Source organism: Homo sapiens, chromosome 13 (assembly GCF_000001405.40).
Source record: "Homo sapiens chromosome 13, GRCh38.p14 Primary Assembly".
Classification (NCBI taxonomy): domain Eukaryota; kingdom Metazoa; phylum Chordata; class Mammalia; order Primates; family Hominidae; genus Homo; species Homo sapiens.
In genome coordinates, this window is record NC_000013.11 from 18,945,445 (window position 1) to 18,965,675 (window position 20,231).

Consider the following 20,231-nt stretch of genomic DNA (forward strand, 5'->3'; position numbering starts at 1 on the left):
TTTTGTTTTTTTTTTAAATCAGCCACTCTGGCCACAGTAACTATTAGAGAAAGTATGTGATCAAGCCTGACCAATTAAAGCCAAAAAGACTGAGGGGATTTTAATCGGGAGCTCTCAGGATAAAGATAACCTCATCACTAGGATCACTAAGAAGAGAGAATTGAACCTGAAGCTGCGGGGAAACACCTTCCTAAGAATGGTGCCCAACCTGGGAAAACAGCTCCTGCATTCTGCTTTGTCTAAGGCCAGCTCTAAAACACGTTATCCCAATCACTTCTCAGCCTTTTGGCTAAGATTAAGAGTAAAACACATCCCTAGGGCTTTCATTGTATTAATAAAACAAGTGAATAAATTGCCTTTTCCTTTATGAGTTTGTTTTCTTTCCTGTTCAATGTAAAAACCATGCTTTATACCCCATGTTGATTTTTTTTTTTAATAATAAGAGGTGAGGCCCCCATTCGGTAAAGGGATTTGCCTAGGGTCTCAAATATACCCAACTGGATCCCATGGATTCTGACTCTTGCCTGGTGTTTCATCCACTACTCTTTGAACAGAGTTTGTGTCTTTAAGACTTGGCTAAATATCTAAAATCAAATTCTTATATTCACTAGAAGAAAATATAATCTAAAGGAAGCTGGTGGTGGTTCCTTTCATGGTGTTTGTGATCCAGACTGTTGGCAACTCTTAGATATTCTCTACTGGATACATGCATATATATCACATAGAAATGTGACTAACCCATAAGGAAAAGAACTGGAGAATAACTTAGTAACAGCATTATTATTATGCTCAGAGGCTCAGTAAAATACATATACATAGAACTATAACTCAAATTTAAAGTTTACATGTATAAATGTATTACTGTAAATATACATCCACTGATACATGAAACAATCACAACAGTCTGATTATATTTTATAAGATCGTTACATACGTAACTACAGGATTTCTGCTTTATATTTATACTTACAAGTAGAATTTTCTTTTCCCCTTTTGGCAGGTAACCAAAGTTAAAAACAAACTATTTAGAGAAATAAACTTGATACCAAGGGACAAAATAGATGCCAGAACCCTCATGTCATATTGCAAACTTGATTCAAATTCTGTTGCTGTAACCTTTGTGACATAACTTTATGTAAAAGGTTTACAGATTTTTTTTAAAATTACTATTTACTTGAGTAAATGAAATAATAAATGTTCTAGTCCATTTGGCCTGCTACAACATACATACCATAAGCTGGGTGGCTTAAACAACAAACATTTACTTATCACAGTTCTGGAGACTAGGGACTCCCAGATCTGGTGTCTTGTGCTCTTCCTCGTAGTGGCCCAGGTCCGCGCTGTTCTTGGCAGCCCTCTTCAGCAGTTGCTTGCCTGCACTCTTGCCGCTGCCACCCCCATTCTTCTGGGCACCATGGGATGCCAGCGAGCTCCTCTTGGCCTGGCCAGTGCACCATGTGGTCTGCAGGTAGGAGTCGGAGGCCTGCAGGTTGGCCATGGACAGCATTCCCTGAATGGCTTCCTGCATGCTGGGGCAGGCTGGGGGCTGGCTAGGGGCACGGAGAGACAGGCACTCAGCCCAGCAGTCTTAGCCTGCAGCCCAGACACTTAGACAACAGCCCATGGCCTGCACAAACTCCTGCACAAACTCCTGGCCTTGGTGGCAGGCAGTGGGTGTGGAGCAGAGAGGGTGGGAGTGAACTGATGACTTCTCCCTTGGAAAAGGCCAGCCACTCCCCCATCCAGCTCTGTTCACCCACCCATACTCCACAGGGAAGGCTGGAGGCCTGGGGAGAGAGATGGGCATGGAGAGGAGAATTGGGAAGACAGCAGATGGGAAGGAGGGTCCAGACCCTCACATGGTCACGGTTTGGTCTCTCCCACCTTAAAGCTGGCAAGCAGACTCAGCGACTTCCCTCCTGCACCCCAGCCACTCTGTGTACTCCTTCATTCCACCCTGTCCCTCTTTCCCAACTGCAGAACTAGCCCTGGGCATTCCTTACCCCACTTCGCAGGGAACCTTCCCACGTGTCACCCTGAGAAGGGGCAGCACAGCCCACTCCCTCCCATGGCACATGCTCTCCCCAGTGACCTGCAACTTTTCTCCACACCCACACCTGCACCCACACCTGCATCTACACCTGTACCTACCCCCACACTTACATCTACACCTGTGGCTAGCCCCCACATCTACACCCCCAGCTGCATCTACACCTGTACCAACTCCACACTCACACCTGCATCTACACCTGTGCTACCCCCACATCTGCACCCCCAGCTGCATCTACACCTGCACCTAACCCCACACCTGCACCCACCTGCACATGGACCTGCAGCTACATGTGCACCTGAACAGGCACAGCTGCACCTCAGCTCAGCACAAGCTCACTCCCTTCTGGCAGGCTCCACAGACTCTCAGGCTTTCTCTTTGCGCTGCCCTCAGCTTCAGGTGGCCCCTCCCATAGTGCCCAGCCTCTCTCTCATCTACATCCTTGTCCTATGCTCCATACCTGTGCACACACCTCCTGTCTACACTGGCTCTCCTCCTTCTAGAAGCTTCTGAAACACCCGATATGTGATCAGCCTGTCTAGACACACAAAGTGGTGAGATGGGATGACCACTGTCATCCCAGAGAACCAGGGGCTTGGTGCTGCTGGATGGCAAGGACCCCCAAGGCCAAGTCCTGGGCTCTTTGGGTACCTCCCTGCTGGGCCCTCCCATGGGATCCAGCCCTGGCCTCTTCATGGGGCCCTGCCCCACCCCAGCCCAAACATCCCTACAGCCAGGACCCTAACCTGTCTGTGCACCAGAACTACCTGGGCAGCTTTACAAATGTCAAGGCCCAGGCCCCACCCAAAAACTCTGAGTCAGGAGTCTGCCCTGGGCTCCAGATGCTGTGTGTAGCCAGGACAGGTGCCCCAGGCTTCCCCACCACTCACGTGGTTCAGCCCAGCAGGTACCCCCTGCAACGTCCCTTTCTAGTCCTCACCCCTGCCCACTTCCCCATGGCCCAAACCTGGCCCCAGGACAAGGCAGCCCACCCCCCCTACAGGGGAGGCCCGGCCACATCTGTCACTGCATCTGGGCACTCCTGGGCCCATACTTGGGGCACATGGGGTGCCTGCTGTCCTCTCCCTCTGCTCCCTGGACCCACCCCTCCAGGACTCCTGCATCAGCATCACTGTCTCTCGAGCTGCCCATCCCCTCTCCACCACTTCCCAGAAGCACCAGAGGCACTTGCAGTAAAACCATTCAAACGAGAAAGGCTGGCAAACCTGTGGCTGTGAACACACCCCGGTGCTTTATGGGGTCTTGTGTACCAAGAACCCCTCACCAAGGACAGCACACATGTGAGACAAGAAAGAGGACAACACAGTGGCAGGCGGGCCACCCAGCTCTGCATGCCTGTACCCATCTATGTCACCAGACACAGAGACTGAGGCACCTGGGGCAGTGGCCCATGAGGACAAGTCCCTGCTCAGAAGCAAGAGGGCTCCTAAGACTGAGGTTCTGCTGGCGCGGGACAGGGAGAGGAAGCTGCCGCAGGAAGCCCAGACACAAAGGGAGTCTAGGGCTAGTGAGGCAACTTGGACAAAAGCTGCCCATGCTGGACAGCGCTGAGGCCCAAACCCACTGCTCGCTGAGGGTCCAGTGGACTCGGGGTGCCCAGTGATGGGGGAGGCACCCTCGCTGCAGCCCTCACCAATGCCACCTCCCGGGCCCTGTCTCAGACACACTGGACTGCGCCGCATTTCGGGTTTCACACGAACTGAACAGGACTGAGGTTTGAAAGCCACACCAATGAGAAAATCAAGCACGGTCAGCCTGGAGCACTCCTCAGAAGGCACTGCCGGGAGCCGCCCCCACAGTGCCGGGACCACACCTCCCCTGCCACACAAGCTGCAGCTCTGAGGGCCTGCCTGAGCAAGGGTGGTCACTCCTGCTCTCACTGACATCTCCACAGGAACAGGCTCTTCCAGCCCCAGCTCAGGAGCCAGCCAGAGCACACAGTTCACCCTGCAGCCTCTAGCAGGCCCAACCCTATCCCTCAACTGGCCTGCAAGGCCCAGAAAGACTGGAGGGCGGGGTCTGCACCCAGCCACGGGGGGACGGGGGTGGCCAGGGACACCCACTGCGAGGGTTCATGCCGTAACATCTCGGCAACCCAAAAGGATGAGGGCTGCATGCCCGGGCCCTGCAGGGTTGCTGGCGAATCAATGAGCAACGTCTAACTAGTTGGCATGAAAAATAATACATTAATCCCCCAATTATCATACCCAAATCCTCTCTTTTTCCCCCAGCTGTAAACACTGAACAAACTACCCATGACAAATTAACATATTTTCCTCCATTTTCTTCAGCTGTTTTTCCAAGCAGTCCATACTTAAAACAGAACAAATGGACCATCAAAAACTGACCTACGCTCCAAATGGGAGATTTTGGGAGAGGAACTGCCTGCAGCGGGCTGAGGGGGACCGGCGGTCTCAGTGGCCCCTGGCAGGCACATATGCACGTGCACACTCCCCGAAGGTATGGGTTCAGCAGGGGAAGCTCTGGGTTTCTTGTTATCAGTGTTTCCACAGATGGGTTGCCCCACTCCTGGGCTCAGATTCACAGCCGGGAACCCAGGACGCAGTGCCTCCTCACAGACTCAAGCACAAAACCCTCCCCACCTCTGTCCCCATCACCATGCCCCCTGCAAGTCCACAGGTGCCCACAACAAAGCACCTTGTGACCCCTGGGCTCTTGGCCCTGTCTGCCCTCATCTTGGGTGGCCTCAGACACCCCCTAACTCCACGGCTCCCGGGCCTCTCCAGGGACCTCGGGAGGGGCCTAGGGTGTTTAGAAGCCTCTCCCACCCCTGAGGCCAGTCACTGAGGTGTCGGCTAGTGCACACTCCTTCCCAGAGACAGGCATCCCTCAAAGAGCTGTGTGGAGCACCACAGCCTCTGATAGGGAGGAAGAGCTCATAGCCAGCCTTCACCCCCAGCCACAAGCACGTCTCTGCGGCAAGGAGCTTAACATGGACAGAAACCACCTAGTGCCGAGCAGGAAATCTGTCCCCTAAGGCGCTATGGAAGCCTCCCATCATGCTTCACTCCCAATAATAAAAAAAAACCTTACAGCTGGCTTTCTGATCAATATTACATGAACATAATATTGCATGTAAAACAGTAATACATGAAATAAAATAACAGCCAATTGATTTAGCAAAAGCTCTTTTCAATCAAGCCCTTAATCCACCTTGCCCAAGCCTCTCGTCTGTCTAAAAGCAGGCCTGCCCTGCGGCCTCCACCTGCCCACTGAGCAAGCTCGGGGCTGTGGAGCAGGTGACAGGGTAGCCCTGGGTTGCCCATGGATTCTGGAAACCACAGAGTCTCAGAGCAGATCTTGGGAACTGAGCAGGACCCTAGCATGGGCTCTGTCTTCCTCAAGCCAAGTCACTGCTGGACAAGGGACCCGCCACGCACACCCAGACATCACTGCCCAGCGCTAGTCAACCCTCCAGGACCTCCAACCTCAAGTTCCAGAATCAGGCAGACGGAGATTCTGAGCCTGGCTCTGCCACTTCCTAGCAGTGTGGCCATGTGCAAGTGTAAGCCCTCAGAGTCTCAGTTTCCCCATCTGTGCAATGGGAATCTGCAGCTGTCATGAGGACCGGGAGGGCTGTGCTCCCCATGGCAGCTGTGGCACCCTGCATGGGGCTAGGCTAGGGTCAGGCCAGCATTTCTCACCTCCATCCTCAACTGCCTAGCACCGTCTCAGAGTGAATGCCATTTAATAGCTTCCCAGGAACCTAGAAGCAGAGCTTCAGGGGCACCAGGGAGGGGGCTGCAGCTCTGCCCCCTGGGCTACCTGTCTGTAGTACATGTGGAACAACCCATAACATTTCCACCTGAAAAAACAACAGTCTCGGCACTTAAAATTGAAAACCTGGGAGTTCTGAGAGAATGTACCAGGGACCATCACTAGAAAAGTAAGCCCTTGGTTGAAAGCAAAGCCCCAGTGAGACCAAACACTCCAGCATATGTACCCCGCAGTGTGCCCTCTGGCATTAGAGCAGCATCTGTACCCTGCGGTGTGCCCTCCTGCCCAGGCCCGGGGCGGCTCAGCACTGGCTCCAGCTGTGCGTCCACCTCACAGGCTCCAAGCACCATGGCCGAAGGCCAGCCCTGGACCTGCCTGGTCCCCACTCTTGGGTGCTGCTGGGTGGTGGGGCCCACCTGCTGGGGTTGTATTCCAGGGCACCGATCTCCTCGCTGGCCTGCAGCAGGTGCAAGATGTCGGCTGCCAAGCTCCCGCTCTCCTTCTTGACTCTGGCATTGTGGCCGGGGCTTGGTGTCCGTGTCGATGTGCAGCAAACCCTCGACCAAGGAGTCGTCACTGTGACGCGTGAGAGACAGGGCACCGGTCAGGGGAGGGTCCGGCCACCGAAGTGGCCTGGGAGTTGGGAGGGGGATACTTTTTCCCTTCAGGGACTAAACTAGGTTTTTTAACGTTTTCAAAGAGCACTACCTTTCTAATGAACACTGCTGGGGTCAGACAGAGGCCCCTGGAGCCAACGGGGCTGGATGGCCCACACATGGGCACACGGGACAGACGTGGGTGCTAGAGATGTCTCAGGACCACAAAGGACCAAACTGTCTTCACACTGTGCACCATATTCACAGAGAAACTGGTTCAACGGAACCCTTAACACAAGAGAGCCCCAGTGTGTAACACATATAAAGAGATGCCGCGATGACTGGGTGGAGAGGCAGGGGCAGGGCCTGCAGCCTCAGAGGGACCTCAAGTTGCGGGAAAGCAGTTAACAGGCTCAAATCCGGATAAACTCCCCTGGCAGGGTGCTCAGTGGAGACAGGCCCCTCGCACGCCCAGGCGGAGGTGACCACTGTGTCTTAGAGTTAGACGTGACCTTAGAACACTCACTCAAGGGTGGGTTGAGAGTAAGGGGCCTCTCCATCATCTTGCGCAGAAACACCCTCAGAGACCACCCTGGAGTCACTCAAACCATGGCCTTGGGGACTGCCCAGAGATGGCCTTCAAGACCGAGGGGGCCCGGAAGGCAGCTCACCTTGTACGCTGCTGAGTCAAGCTTTGGCTTCATGACAGGTGTGGACAGCACCACCTTCATATGCAACAAGACTGAAAGCACAGCAGATGGGAGCCCAGTGGGCAGCCTTGGGGGGAGCCAGCCACTCCAGGAATACCTCTCAGGGCATGACGGGCCTCTCCCAACCCCTCCCCCAACGCCCCTTCCCAACTCACAGGACAAGTGCCTTTTTGGGGCATTTTTGTTCCTCCTGATGGAAAACTCGTTGATCTTGAGCTCGCCATTGTCCGAAACGTACTCATACTCGTCCTGCACGGGCTTGGGCTTGTCCTCCTTGAAGTTCTGCAAGGCCCTGAACACACCAGGGCTTGTCAGGGGCCTGAGAGCCTTGGAGCTAGGGCAGAAGTGAGTGGGTCAGCAGCATCCACACAGCCCCATGGCCAGCAGACAGGTGGAACCTCCCAAGGGGTCCCCTGCCAAGGCCATGGCAGGATGGGCTCCAGGAGGCAGGTGAATTCCCCATCATTTGAATTTCAATCCGAAGAAGCCTCACTACCAGTCAAGGTTGGAGGAGGGCGGAGGGTCCAAGCCTCTGCAATCAGGAGGCCAGGCTGGGCCCTCAGTCCCCACTGTGGGAAGCTACCTGCCCACAGGAGAAACACTCCCCAACCCCATGGCCTCCTACACAATGCTGTGCTTCCCTCCCCACAATCAGCCAGAGAGAGCCCTTCCCCAGGCAGTTTAGATGCTCGAGACAGTGACCCCCAACTGTCCCAGTGCCACTGGACAAGCTTAAGCCCCGCCTCGGGCCTGCCTGGGAATCCTGGCACATGCTGAATCTGTCTTTAACTGGAATAGGATCCAACTTTCCTGTTTTTTTCTCCATAGCTATATTGGAAAAATAAACTCAGGACCAGGGCTACAGGATAGATTAACAGTCTAAGAAAGGGCTTGTAACTTGTCTCCCTGCTGGGGTGAAGGAGGACTACTTCAGAGCTTGGCTTGCAAGCAGCTGCTGCCTTTGCCTTCCCAGTGGTTTGAGGACAGGTTTCTCCCTCTGTAGTATCACAGACAACAGGCTGAGGCAGAAAAGTCTGGAACTTCCAACAGACACAGCTCCAATTCTGAGGAAATGGAAGTGCAGACACCTGGATAGAGCTCCAGGGCGAGGCTGCTTCCAGTGCTCTAAGTGAAGGGGCGGCGGGCCCCACTGCCTTATGGGCTGAGCCACAGAACACACAAGTGTCCACAGGCTAGAGTCATGCCAGCCTTTCTCATCTCCATCCTCAACTCCCTGGCACCACCACACAGTGAACAGAACCTAGAAGCAGAGCTTCAGATACAGCAAGCGGCATGCCCAGGGTCATGAAGCTGGGCAGCCACAGGACCCTGCAGACCTGCCCCTTGGCTGAACGGCCTTGCATGTTGCCCTGAGCTCCCTGCCCCTCACAAGGCTCTGCCTGGGCACTGCTCCCTTTCTCCACCACCCGGAAAGACGCCTTCTTCTACCATCTCTTCAATGAGGAAACTATGACCCAGCCAAGTTAATCAGTATTCGCTGCAGAAAAGTGGTCGCCCCTCCCACTGGGACCTCTCTGACTCCAGCCAGGTGTGGGGCCTCAGCAGGTAACATGCCCCACGCACTGGGAGTACACACAGGCCCAAGTGTTGCCGCTGGTACCATGAAGCTCTCAAGGCTGCCATGGGGCTCACAGCCCTCAGCACCCCTTGCCTCACCCCGAGGCTCATCCAGCATGCACACACCTCCCAGACACACCCCCTAATCTCTGCTCAGCGCCACCTCCTACAGGAGGCCCTCCTGAGTCCCAGATGGGTCATGTTCTCAGCACTCAGGTTCCCATGCTGGGTTCATACCAAGCCCTCCCCACTGGCCACTGGGCTCCGAGGGCCAGGATCCTATCCACCACTCGTGTCCCCAGCACCAGCTCACAAGAGCCCCACATCTAACATTCGTGGAGTCCCACAGCCTCCCTCCCTGCCTGGGGGGGCCCATCCCTCTCTGCAGACTGGCTGCATCTTCCAGCCCAGCCCCACCCAGGCATGTCTGCTTCCTCAAACCTGCCCTGCAGGTGGAGCGTGGTGGGAGGCACAGACACAGCTCTGCTAGTGTCTAGGCCCTGAATAAGAGGTGCCGGGAACAGGGCTGCAGTCAGTGAGGTCAGCAGCTCAGAGGGAGAGGAGTCCCCAGAGGTGTGTCAGCCAAAGATTGTGTGTGTATGGGGTGTGTGATGTGCAGTGTGTGTGGTTGTGTGTAATGCAGTGTGTGGTGTGTGTTTGATGCAGTGTGCATGCATGGTGTGTGTGTAATGTGTGTGTGGTATCAGGCAGTGTGCGTGATGCAGTATGTATGGTGTGTGTGATGTGGGTTACATGCGAGGTCACCCCTCCCATCCAGGCACTCACATACCCAAGGAGTTTCCTGTTGGAGAAAGAAAAAGAGAAGTTGTCTTTGTTTCCACCTAGAGGCAACTTCTCTAGCTTCTGCTCCTCTTCCATCTTCAGTAAGGAGTTGGGTTTGCTGTTCTGAAAAGCAAGACCAGGGCTGTCCCTGAGCCCCAGACATAAGTAGGGGGTCAGGACCCTGACTAGTGTCAGGGGGCAGAGGCAGCTGCTGGGAACAGGCCTAAGGAAAGTCACCCATAGGTCTCATGGCCACCTGGACCGCTGTGGGGTGCTCAGGGGCCTGCACCCCATGGGCTCAGTGCCTCCATGGTGCCTGGCCCTCAGGGAGTGGGAATGAAAACCAGAGTGTGGACGATGAAGGGAAACACTGTCAACACGCAGGGTGACACACCCAACCTCTTGCATCCCAACCAACTCAGAGGAAGGTAGTCCATGGGTGGCTACACACACTTCAGACTCACATAGCCACACCTCATGGCACCAACTGCTCAGGACAAGCAGACACGTCTGCACATTCCTTCACACACACAGGGCTTCATGGATTCACATCTCTGCTCACACTCACTGACCTGACATGCACGCACATGCATCCATGCACACGTGCATGTCTCACCTTGTACTTCCACTTGGCCTCTGACTTGCTCTTGGTTTGCTCTCGAATTTCCAGCCTCTCCACATCATTTTCTATGTGGACCACGTCCTTGTTGGGCACACTCAGGATGGTCTTTGTGGCCTAGAAAAAAGTGTTGCTGTGACCCAGAGGCAGACGCAGAGGGCCAGTGGGACTCCCCTGTGCCACACAGATTCCCTGTCTCCTTCTAGCCCATGTGCTTGCAGCTCATGCCCCCATCCATCTACCCATCCATGCATCCATTCACCCACCTATCCATCTACCCATCCACGCATCCATCCAACCATCCATTTATTCATCTATTCATTCATCCACTCATCCATCCATCCATCCTCCATGCATTTGTTCATCCATCCACTCATCCATCCACCCATCTGTCCATTCATCCACCCACCCATCCACTCATTCATCCCATTCATTCATCCATCCATCCATCCATTCACCCATTCATTCATTTATCCATCCATCCATCCGTCCATCCATCCACCCACCCATCTGCCCACCCATCTGCCCACCCATCCATCCATCCATGCATCCATTCGTTCTTCCCATTCATCCACCCACCCATCCATCCATCCATGCATCCATTCGTTCTTCCCATTCATCCACCCACCCATCCATCCATTGACTCATCCATTTATTTATCCATTTACCTATCCACCCATCCATTTATTCATCCTTGCATCCATCCATCCATCCATCCACCTATTCCTCCATTCCTGCACCCATCCATCCTTTTATTCATTCATTCATTCATTCATTGATCCACCCATCCATCCATCTACCCATCCATTCATTCATCCATTCATTTATCCATCCATCGGTTCATTCACCCACCTATCCATCCATCCATTTGTTCATCCATTCATCTATTTGCTCACCCACTGATTCATTCATCCATCTATCCATCTATTCATTCATCCATCCACACATCCATCAATCCATCCATTCGTTCATCCATTCATTCATCCATCCATCCATCCATCCATTTATGCATCCATCCATTCATCCACCCATCCATCCAACCACCCACCCATCCATCCACTCACCATTTGTTCATTCATTCATCCACTCATCCATCCATTCATTTATTCACCCATCCATTTGTTCATTCATCCACCTTTCCATCCATTCATTCATCTAACCATCCATTTATTCATCCATCCATCCATCCATCGATTCCATCTAACTATCCATTCCATCCACCCATCCATCCATTTGTTCATTCATCCATCCATCCATATATTCATCAATCCATCCATCCACTCACGCACCCACCCAACCATCCATCCATTCTTTCATCCATCTACCCATCCATCTATCCACTCATCCATCCAGTCACTCATCCATCCATCCCTTCATTAATCCATTCATCCATCTACCCATTCATTCACCATCCATTCATCCACCCATCCATTCATTTATTCATTCTTCCATGATCCATCCATCTACCCATTCACCCATCCACCCATTCATTTATTCATCCATCCATCCACCTATACATCAATTCGTTCATCTATCCATCCATTCAACCATCCATCCAGTCATCAATTCACTTATCCATCCATCCATATGTTCATGCATTCATTCATCCATTCGTCCATCTATTCATTCATTGACCCATTCATCCATCCAGTCATTTAGCCATCCATTCATTTGTTCATGCATTCATTCATGCTTGCCCTGAGAAAGGGAACACAAAAGTGTCCCACTACATCCCTGTGATGCTGGCCCTGAAATGTCCTGGCCCCCAGCAAGTGGATAACAACCTCCTCCTGGCAGAAGCTCACACTCAATGGTGCTTGATCTCAGGGGTTCATGGTCCCTGAAGCCCAGACCTAAGATCCTCTAGTTAGAGTGGGTCTTCAGGGATGGGCCCATCTCTCTCACTGTCCACTGGGACTCTGACTATCAGGGCAACTCTGCTCCTGTCCTCATCCCTGAACACCCTCCCCTCCAATGGCATTCTCCCTGTTGTTTCTGCACAGACACCTCATCTACCTTCAGGCTTCAGCCTCAATGCCTTGGCCCCAAGGAGGATCCAGGGCTTCTCTGTCCCCTGGCAACTGCTCATCTGGCTAGGAACTCAGACATCCCACCCTGGAAAACCACCATGCCTCCCCCACCAGGTGGCCCTCCTGAGTGCCACCGCTGCCACAGCACACACACACTGTGCTGCCTTCCTCAATGAGGGCCCCTCTCCAGGCCCACTGCTCTGTGGCTTGCTGGGGCAGAGCCTGTCCACCCTGAAGGGTCTGGACCAGGATATTGCAGGATTGGGTCACGACCAGGCAGGGAAGTGCATCTTCTGGGCAGACTGACCTCACAGAAGAGCCCAAACCCCCACATCCTCCCAGGGTCCCCTGGAGAACAAGGACAATGGGTCCTAGTTATATCTATGGGCCTGGCACCCAAGAGATATTGCAGCGCCTCTGGTGATGAGGTGGGGAGTCAGGGTGAGGGGGCCCTACCTTGCCCTTCTTGGGTGGCTCCATCTTGGTCAGTGCCTCCTTGGTGTGGGCTTTGAGCAGGTCCAGGTTGGAGATATTAGGCAAGGCTGACTCTCAGGACTTCTTCCTTTTCTTCTTGCCTCCATCTTTGAGATTCAGCATTTTGTGGAGCCTTGGGGGCTTAGGGGGTTTTGGGGGCTTGGGGATTTTGGATGGCTTGGTCATCTTCACAGTTTTGGGAGCCTTTTTTTTTTGGACACTTTCTCCAGGAGGGATTGAGGCGGGGTGGCCTCAATTGGAGGCGGGGTGGCCTCAATTGGAGGCAGGGGCTCCTCCTTCTCCCAGTCCCCATCACAGACATCATCTGACGAGGCAACAGTATTCACTTCCGGTCAGGTGGCTTTGGAGGCATTCTGGGGTACAGAAAGGAAAGGGTTACTTGCTGCTTCTGCCAAACTGTGGCCCAGGAGAGTCCACACACCGGGATGCTGGAGACCCTCACTGCTAGCCTGGTGGGGAGCTGTTAGCCCAGAAAGGCTCAGCTATCCCACACAATCATGTGACATGCTCACACCCACCCCACGCTGTTGTGTGACACTCTCACACCTGCCATATACCATCAGTCACTTGCTCTCCCCAAGGCTCTTCTGTTCTACCCTGAGCACAGTGACTGGGGGCTCATCCAGGATCACACATGCTGGGACTCCAGGGGCTGAGGCAGGGGCTCCTCCCAGAGAGTGCCCTCCCCATTGGAGCTTCAGAGGGGCCAGTGCCATCTCTCAGTCCCTACACACTCACACCAGGACACAGACCCAGCCAGAGACCTGGGACCCTGAGCCCTCACAAAGGCAAGCTTGCCCAGGAGAGTGCAGAGAGTACTGTCTGGAGCTGGCAGCTCTGTGTCAGGCTGGCCCCCAGGCCCAGAGAAAGACAGGCAGGCCCTCCCCCATCCCCAGGGGTCCAGCCCAGTACCTGGGCACAACCCCACCTCACTGAGCCAGATCTCTTTGGCCAGGTCTTTGACAAGCTGTGAAGGTTTGAAGTGCTCCAGGAGCTTGTCCTCATGCTCTGCCAAAGCATACAGGGCAACGGGGCCCAGGGTCAGCGCCAAACATGCCCCATGGCCTTGATCTATTCCTGCATCATTCCAGGCTGTCCCGATTGCTGAGACACCCAGATGAGCATGAGGAGAGGGGCTCCCCAGCCAAATTCTGCCCCAGCAAGAGGTCTCTGCTGTGACCCCCATCAATAGGTGGACAAACTGAGAACCAGAGGGGACAAGCATGCCTGAGGCCACCACCAGCGGGCTATGGAGTAAACATGAGTCCCATCCCTTCTTCCTGGTCAGAGGCCACTCCACTGGGCCACACGGCTGAGGTGAGGTGGGAGGGGCACCCTGGACTGCCCTGGGCCTTGAGGCCTGAGGGAGGTGGTGGCTGCAGGATGGCCCTGGGAGTGTACTGGCTGCCTCTCCTACATGGCCCACCCATGAGAGAGGCAGGCTGCACATGGTGTTACCTGAAGCCTGGCCTCCCCCTCCTGAAGGCTTCCTGCAAACCTCCACTGGCCCTCTCTGGCCTGGGAGAGGGTCCTTCTCCCTCAGGAGTGGGCAAAGAGCCTCTGCAAAATGAGAGCCCCAGCAGGAAACACTGTCCCAGAGGGTGCTCGAGGCTAAGCCAGACCTTCCCCTCCCTTCTGTAGCCAAAACCAAGGGAAGATGCTAAGGAACACAGGAAGAACTTCTGTGGGGGTGTGCACAGGAGGGTCATCAGGGAGTGTCACAGGGAGGGGATGCCCGGGTCACAGAGCAAGGTGGCTGGGGTGCTGCACCCACATCAGGCAGCTTAGCTTCTGAACTGATGCCAGGGCCAGCCAGGAGGAGCCAAAAGGGCATCCCCAGCACTCCCTGTCCTGGGGCCAGCCACTCCCCCAGTCCTTCTCTGCCCCCACCAGGTTCCAAGCCTTTCTGTGCTCACACAGTGTCATCCCACCATGAGCCATCTGTCCTCCACCCGCAGACCCACTTTCCTCCCAGGACACATGGTCACCTGCCCACCCTCCTCCCACCAACTTGTGAGCCCCTGGTGGAGGGTGCTCTGCACCTACATCTGTCCTCCCCCAGCTCTCAAGTGGCCCAGTCAGTGGAGAGCAGGGGACAGACCCATGGGGTGTCTGGGGCAAATTCACACCCTGGGCCAAGCCAGGCAGGAGAGCACCACCGACCCTGCCAGGCCGGATCTTACTGAAGCAGGACAAGCCCTGGACATTGCTGCTGGGTCTCCAGGGAGGTGCTCCCACCTGTCACCGCTTTCCTGCCCTAGGGCATTTGTGACATGATTCCTACCTGCTTCTTCGTCCACGGTTGGAAAGCATCATTGAGAATTTTAGCTCCTTGGACTAGATGAGGGGGCAGCTGCTTGCCAGATTTGTGAGAGCCCAGGAAAGAGACACTGGGTGAGGTGGGTGGGTGCCCACTGCCCACAGGTGCCTTCAAGCCCAGCCACACAGCCAGACTGGGGGACGCCAGGTCCAGCCTTCCAGAGGTCTCCCTTCACCCACGGCCACCATCCCAAATGCCAACGGTTCCTCTTGGAACCTGGGGGCGCCCATCCTCCTGGTGGCCTGCCCTGTGAGAGAAAAGATTGGCCCTCCTACTGTGCTCCCACTGTCTCATCCTCCAGGCCCCTAACACAGGCTGCCTGGCTCTGCTCACTCTGCCCAATATCCCAGCCCTCACTGAGCAAGAGGCCACAGTCATGCCAGGAGCCGGGCCACAGGCTGTCCCTGGGCATACACCAGACATCCCCAGGCACCTCTTCCCACCTCATGGCGCCCCTTGGCACAGTGAAGGGACAAACCACAGCTCAGCTGAGAGATGTGCTCCTGCTGTGGGCCTCCATTGGAGAGGGCTCCAGGGCTTTGACTCACCAGAGCTATGACAGCTCCCTGGGTTTTCTCAGTCCTGGGGGCCAACTGAACTGTCATCCCCTCAGAGAGGAGGGCCCAGGCAGAGAGGACATGGCCACGGTGGCCTAGCTGGCCAGTAATCAGGCTGGCCTTGTAGAAGGGCTTCCCGGGTGCTACCCTGATCCCCTCCTTGCTGGCACGAGTCCCCTGAGGGCAGGGCTCAACTCCCATCCTGGGCACTTCCCTCTGCCAGAGTCAAGCTCAGGACTTCACATTTAGGGAGCAATGGGAAAATCTTACTGAAACCTGGCCAGCCATGACTATGGACCATTTTTCCTTCTCAAACTAGGGCTAGAGTGCAAAGGGTTCTGGGTAAAAGAGCTCTTGGCTGCTATCAGAACCAAAAAAAGAGCAACTAAGAGCAACTTCTGGTGAAGGACACACTGAGAAAGCAAATCACACATAAATGCAAATCCTCCTGGAGGCTCCCTCATGCTGCTGGGCAGACTCTGGAAACCTGAACAGGGTGGTGGCTGCCAGGAGCCACCTGCTCTCATTTCTGAGGGTGTAACCAGGCAGGACCTAACAGAAGGGGCAGCCCAGGGATGCCACAGTGTGTCCACAGAGGGACAGGACCAAGCCGCAAGCCTGCCTCACAGTCCAGCTGCCATGGCCCTGAGGGATCCTAAGGGGACCCAGAGCCCACTCACACCCACTCCTAAGCTCGTGACAGAGCCAGGGCTCCACCTTCCCAATGGAGACAAGTGTGGAGTGTGGAGCAGGTGTGACTGATACCTGCACAGAGGCCATGCACACTTGCCCCTCTCAACCCACAGCCCAGTGTTCATTCTAAAACAAGGCACAGTCTAATCAGAAGGAGAGGCCCAGCCTGTTCAATCTGGTCCTGCATTATACAGATGAGGAAACTGAGGCCCAGGAGGCTGAGTCCCAAGGGGACTTCCTCAGGCCACAGGAAGGTGGCACTCACACCCTGACAGCCCTGACCCAGGTCTGGCTGCCCCCACAGCCAAGAGCCTCAGGCTTGGACGCCCACCCTGGAGTGACCAGTACATTTGAACGCCTCCAGCAGGTGCTTCCCCAGGTACCAGAAGACAGTTTAGAAGTTGGGAAACTGAGTCAGGCTGCACAATTGCAACCTTCTTTCTACTTCATATGCTCTGGAAGCCACCAAAGAGCCATTCTCAGTGCACTGACCATCAAGCAGGTGACGATGGGGGTGGATCCAGGCCCCAGACACACCAGCTCAGGCTTCCCCTCTGGGCCCTGCATAGCTGAGGTGGACCAGCGGACAATCGCCCTGGGTGGCTGCAGGCCTTGATGCCAATGAGAGCTCTGTTGGTGCCTGAGAAGAGAAGGGAGCAGCCTTTTAAGCAGTCCCAACCTCACCAAGGGCGACTATGACCGTCCAGCAGCCAGGTCCCTAGAGGGGCCGGCCTGCACGATACCAGAGCCCACCTCCTCCTTCCCTCCACATCAAGAAGAGGCCCACCGAGGCTGATGGTCATGTCCAGGTCACCCACAGGCAGGATGAGCCAGTGCTCGGCCCAAGGCATCTGGCACCGAACCCGCTAGAGAGAGGATGCTGCTCTGCGGAGCCTGAGGGCAGACGGTGCGGCAGGCACTACCTCCTCTGCATCTGCATGCTCAGGCTGGGGAGGAAATGTCCCACGAGGGCCAGGCAGTCCACAGAAGTGAGTGTGGCATAGATCCAGCCTCAGAGAGAGACACGAGTGTTTGGTGCCCCACCTCGCTCCCATGAACAGGCTTCTCATGGCTCCAGATCAGAGAGTGGCAGAGACCAGCACAGGCCTTCCCCGGCCCAGCCCAGGCTCCAGCTCCTGCCCGCCTGTGCCTTGGTGCCCTGTCCACCTCTGCAGCTTCACCAGCAGCCTGGGGCCTCCCTGGGAGAAGCTCTCTGCCCCTGGCACCACCCCAGCTTCCATGGAAGGGGGTTGGGGTAGAGGCTGCATCTGAGGCGGCACAGACTAGTCAGTCCAGCCCTGCACCACACAGACAGGGAAACTGAGGCCCAGAGCTGAGGAGACTCGCTCGGGCCACATGAGCGCAGTACTGAGAGAGAGGAAGCCCCAGCCTGTGTCCAGCCACCCGGCCTCCCAACCACACTCAGGGGCAGGAGACAAGGCCGGGGCAGCTGCATCGCCCCCAGAGCTGGGACTGGACCCCGGGTTATCCTTGGAGACGGAGCCTGGGCCAGATCCTGGGAAATCCACAGCTCTTTCTTAAATAGCTGTGACGGTGAGGAAGCCGACGGAGAGAGGAGGGACCCAGAGATTACAGAAGATTCTGAGGCTTATAAATCATTAAAATGTGAAGGCCTCAGTTGATACTTTTTTTTAAATGGAAAAAAAAACCCTATAAAACGATTCAAAACTCTGAACACAACTTAGCTATTTGAGAATACTAGGGAATTGTTAATTGTTCATTTTTTGAGGTGTGAGAACAGTATTGTAGCTGTGTTACTTTAGAAGGAAAGGCAGCCCTTCAGAAATAGTGGAATATTTAATGAAACAGCGGGATGTCTGGGATTTGTTCTTCCATCATCTAGGGGCACACAGTGGCTCACGACGGGCTTTCTCCTTCAGCACAGACAGAAAATGTCCTCTAATATTGCCTTAATTAGGAGCTAGCACCCTCCTCCCTCACTGGCTCTGATGCCGTGGCTGCCGTCCCCACACAAGGCTCTCTGAGCTGGGTCTCCAGCCATGGGCTCAGTCACAGTGAGCCCAGCCAGGCTGTGAAAGGGGCTGACTGGCTGTGCAGCTCCAAGGTGGCCTCGGTGGTGAGGAGTGCCCATGCTGACCAGACAGCACAAGCTCCATTGCTGGCCCCTCTGCAGGGACTGGGCTGGGGTGGCGTTAAGCTCCGGACAAGGGAGCAGGCATGCCAGGGATGCAGACAGACCCCGTGGTGGGGACACAGCCCGAGGGAGAGAGGCGTAACCTTGATGAGGGCCGGCAAGCCCTAGGACACGGTCCCCAAAGCTGCCTGCACTCACCTGAGGGGATGAAGAGGGTCTGGCCCTGCTTGACGATGCACTTGCAGCATTTGTGGACCTGGTCAGCAAAGAACATCTCGCTGTGGTTAAAGGCAGACTGCCAGAGCTCATCCAGGGAGATGTTGGCCAAGGTCAGCCTGATGAAATAGAAGGTCTGCTCCCCATGCCAAGAGAGCCTGTTGGCAGAGCTGCTCATGTGGAACACGGGGGTGGGGGGTGCAAGTGTTAAGTCTTAATGTGAGAAGTATGCCATCCAGTTCCACAAATCCTGCCTGCAACACTGAGAGCACAAGTGCTTTGCAATTCAGAAGTGTGCATGTTAGGAAGGTTCTGGGTATCAGGCACAGTCAAGAGCTAAAGCCCGTAAATCCCACATTACATAGTTTTGAGGCACTACAAACGGTGTGGGTGCCCAGGTTGCAAATAAAGCTGCAACTGGTTGTCAGAAGCATTCCAGGTAGCTCCACTCTTGAGAGCCACTTGGATCCCAGGCTGGGTCAAATGATGCCACTGTGTCCCAGGCAGTCTTATGCCAGGCCCCAGGAGGGGTTCTGCACTGGGAGCAGCGAGACCCCTGTCCTACTGTAGTGAAGCCAAGGCAGGTTCCAAGAATGCCCCAGTGACTTGCTCAAGGCCTCCCAAAGGTGGGATCAGCACATGCACCTGCCCCCCAGCTCCAGCTCCAGCTCCAGCAGGTCTGGAGAAGCTCAATGAGCAGCTGGGGGAGCCCACAGCTTAGGGTTTCCTTTGTTTCTGTTGCTATTTATGTCTCATTTTTTTTCTGGCTTCCCTCTCTCGGCCTTGATGATGAGATTCCTAGCCTTCCCTGCCTGCTCAAGATGCCCCTATCCTACCTGCTGGCTCCTGTGCGGGGCCCTGGCTATTGTTGGCCTCTTCCAGGATGTCTTCACAACACCCCCCTCCCCCCACTTTCTCCTCTAAGTGCACAGTCACCCAGCAGCCTCACCCAATTGTTATTGAGCCTGAATCCCATTAGAAAAAGGAGACACTCGTGCAGTTCTCTGATCCCACATGCACCCCTGCCCCTCCACCCACACATGCACCCCTGCCCCTCCACCCAGCAATGTCTCCATGGCCTCCTGTCCCAAGGATGGATGGTCCGGGGCCCGCTGGGGAGTGGCATCTTGTCCACAGTCAGGGCTCCCGGGGACTGCAGACCATCTTGCAGATGGGTCATGGCCACGGCAAAGCCGAGGTGCCCCAAGGGGTGTGGCTCACCTTGAGCATGTGGTACCAGGCAGAGGCGCCCCCACAATCGACGTGGAAGTCGGTGTAGCTGTCCTTCAACGCAGATCAGGCAGGACTTGGTCACCTTGGGCTTGGCCAGCAATGCATCTGGCCATTCCACCCAGAACAGTTTCTTCATGGTGTCAGGTGGCTCCACGAAGCTGGACATTCTGGGGGTGGGACAGGAAGGTGGTGAGGGAACGTGGGACTCCCTTTTTGACGTCCCCTGGAGCGGGAAACATGCTCTGTGAGGCACGTCCCACACTGTCTCACCACCTGCGGGCCAGAGGTCACAGCTCCCATTTCACAGAGAAGCACACAGGATCACAGAGGGCAGAACGAGCCCAGGCGCTGGCTGTGGCCCTGGCAGAAGACTGGATCTGATGCTGGCCTCCACCCCCAGATGATGATGAGAAGACCCCAAAACCATCCACCCCTGAGAGGGAAACTCCTGGGAACTGGAAAGCGAGTCTTTCTGG

The 20,231-nt window shown here is 55.1% G+C and overlaps 1 pseudogene; it reads right to left on the bottom strand.

Moving 5' to 3' along the window:
* PHF2P2 (PHD finger protein 2 pseudogene 2) lies at positions 1,311–19,948 on the bottom strand (annotated as a pseudogene).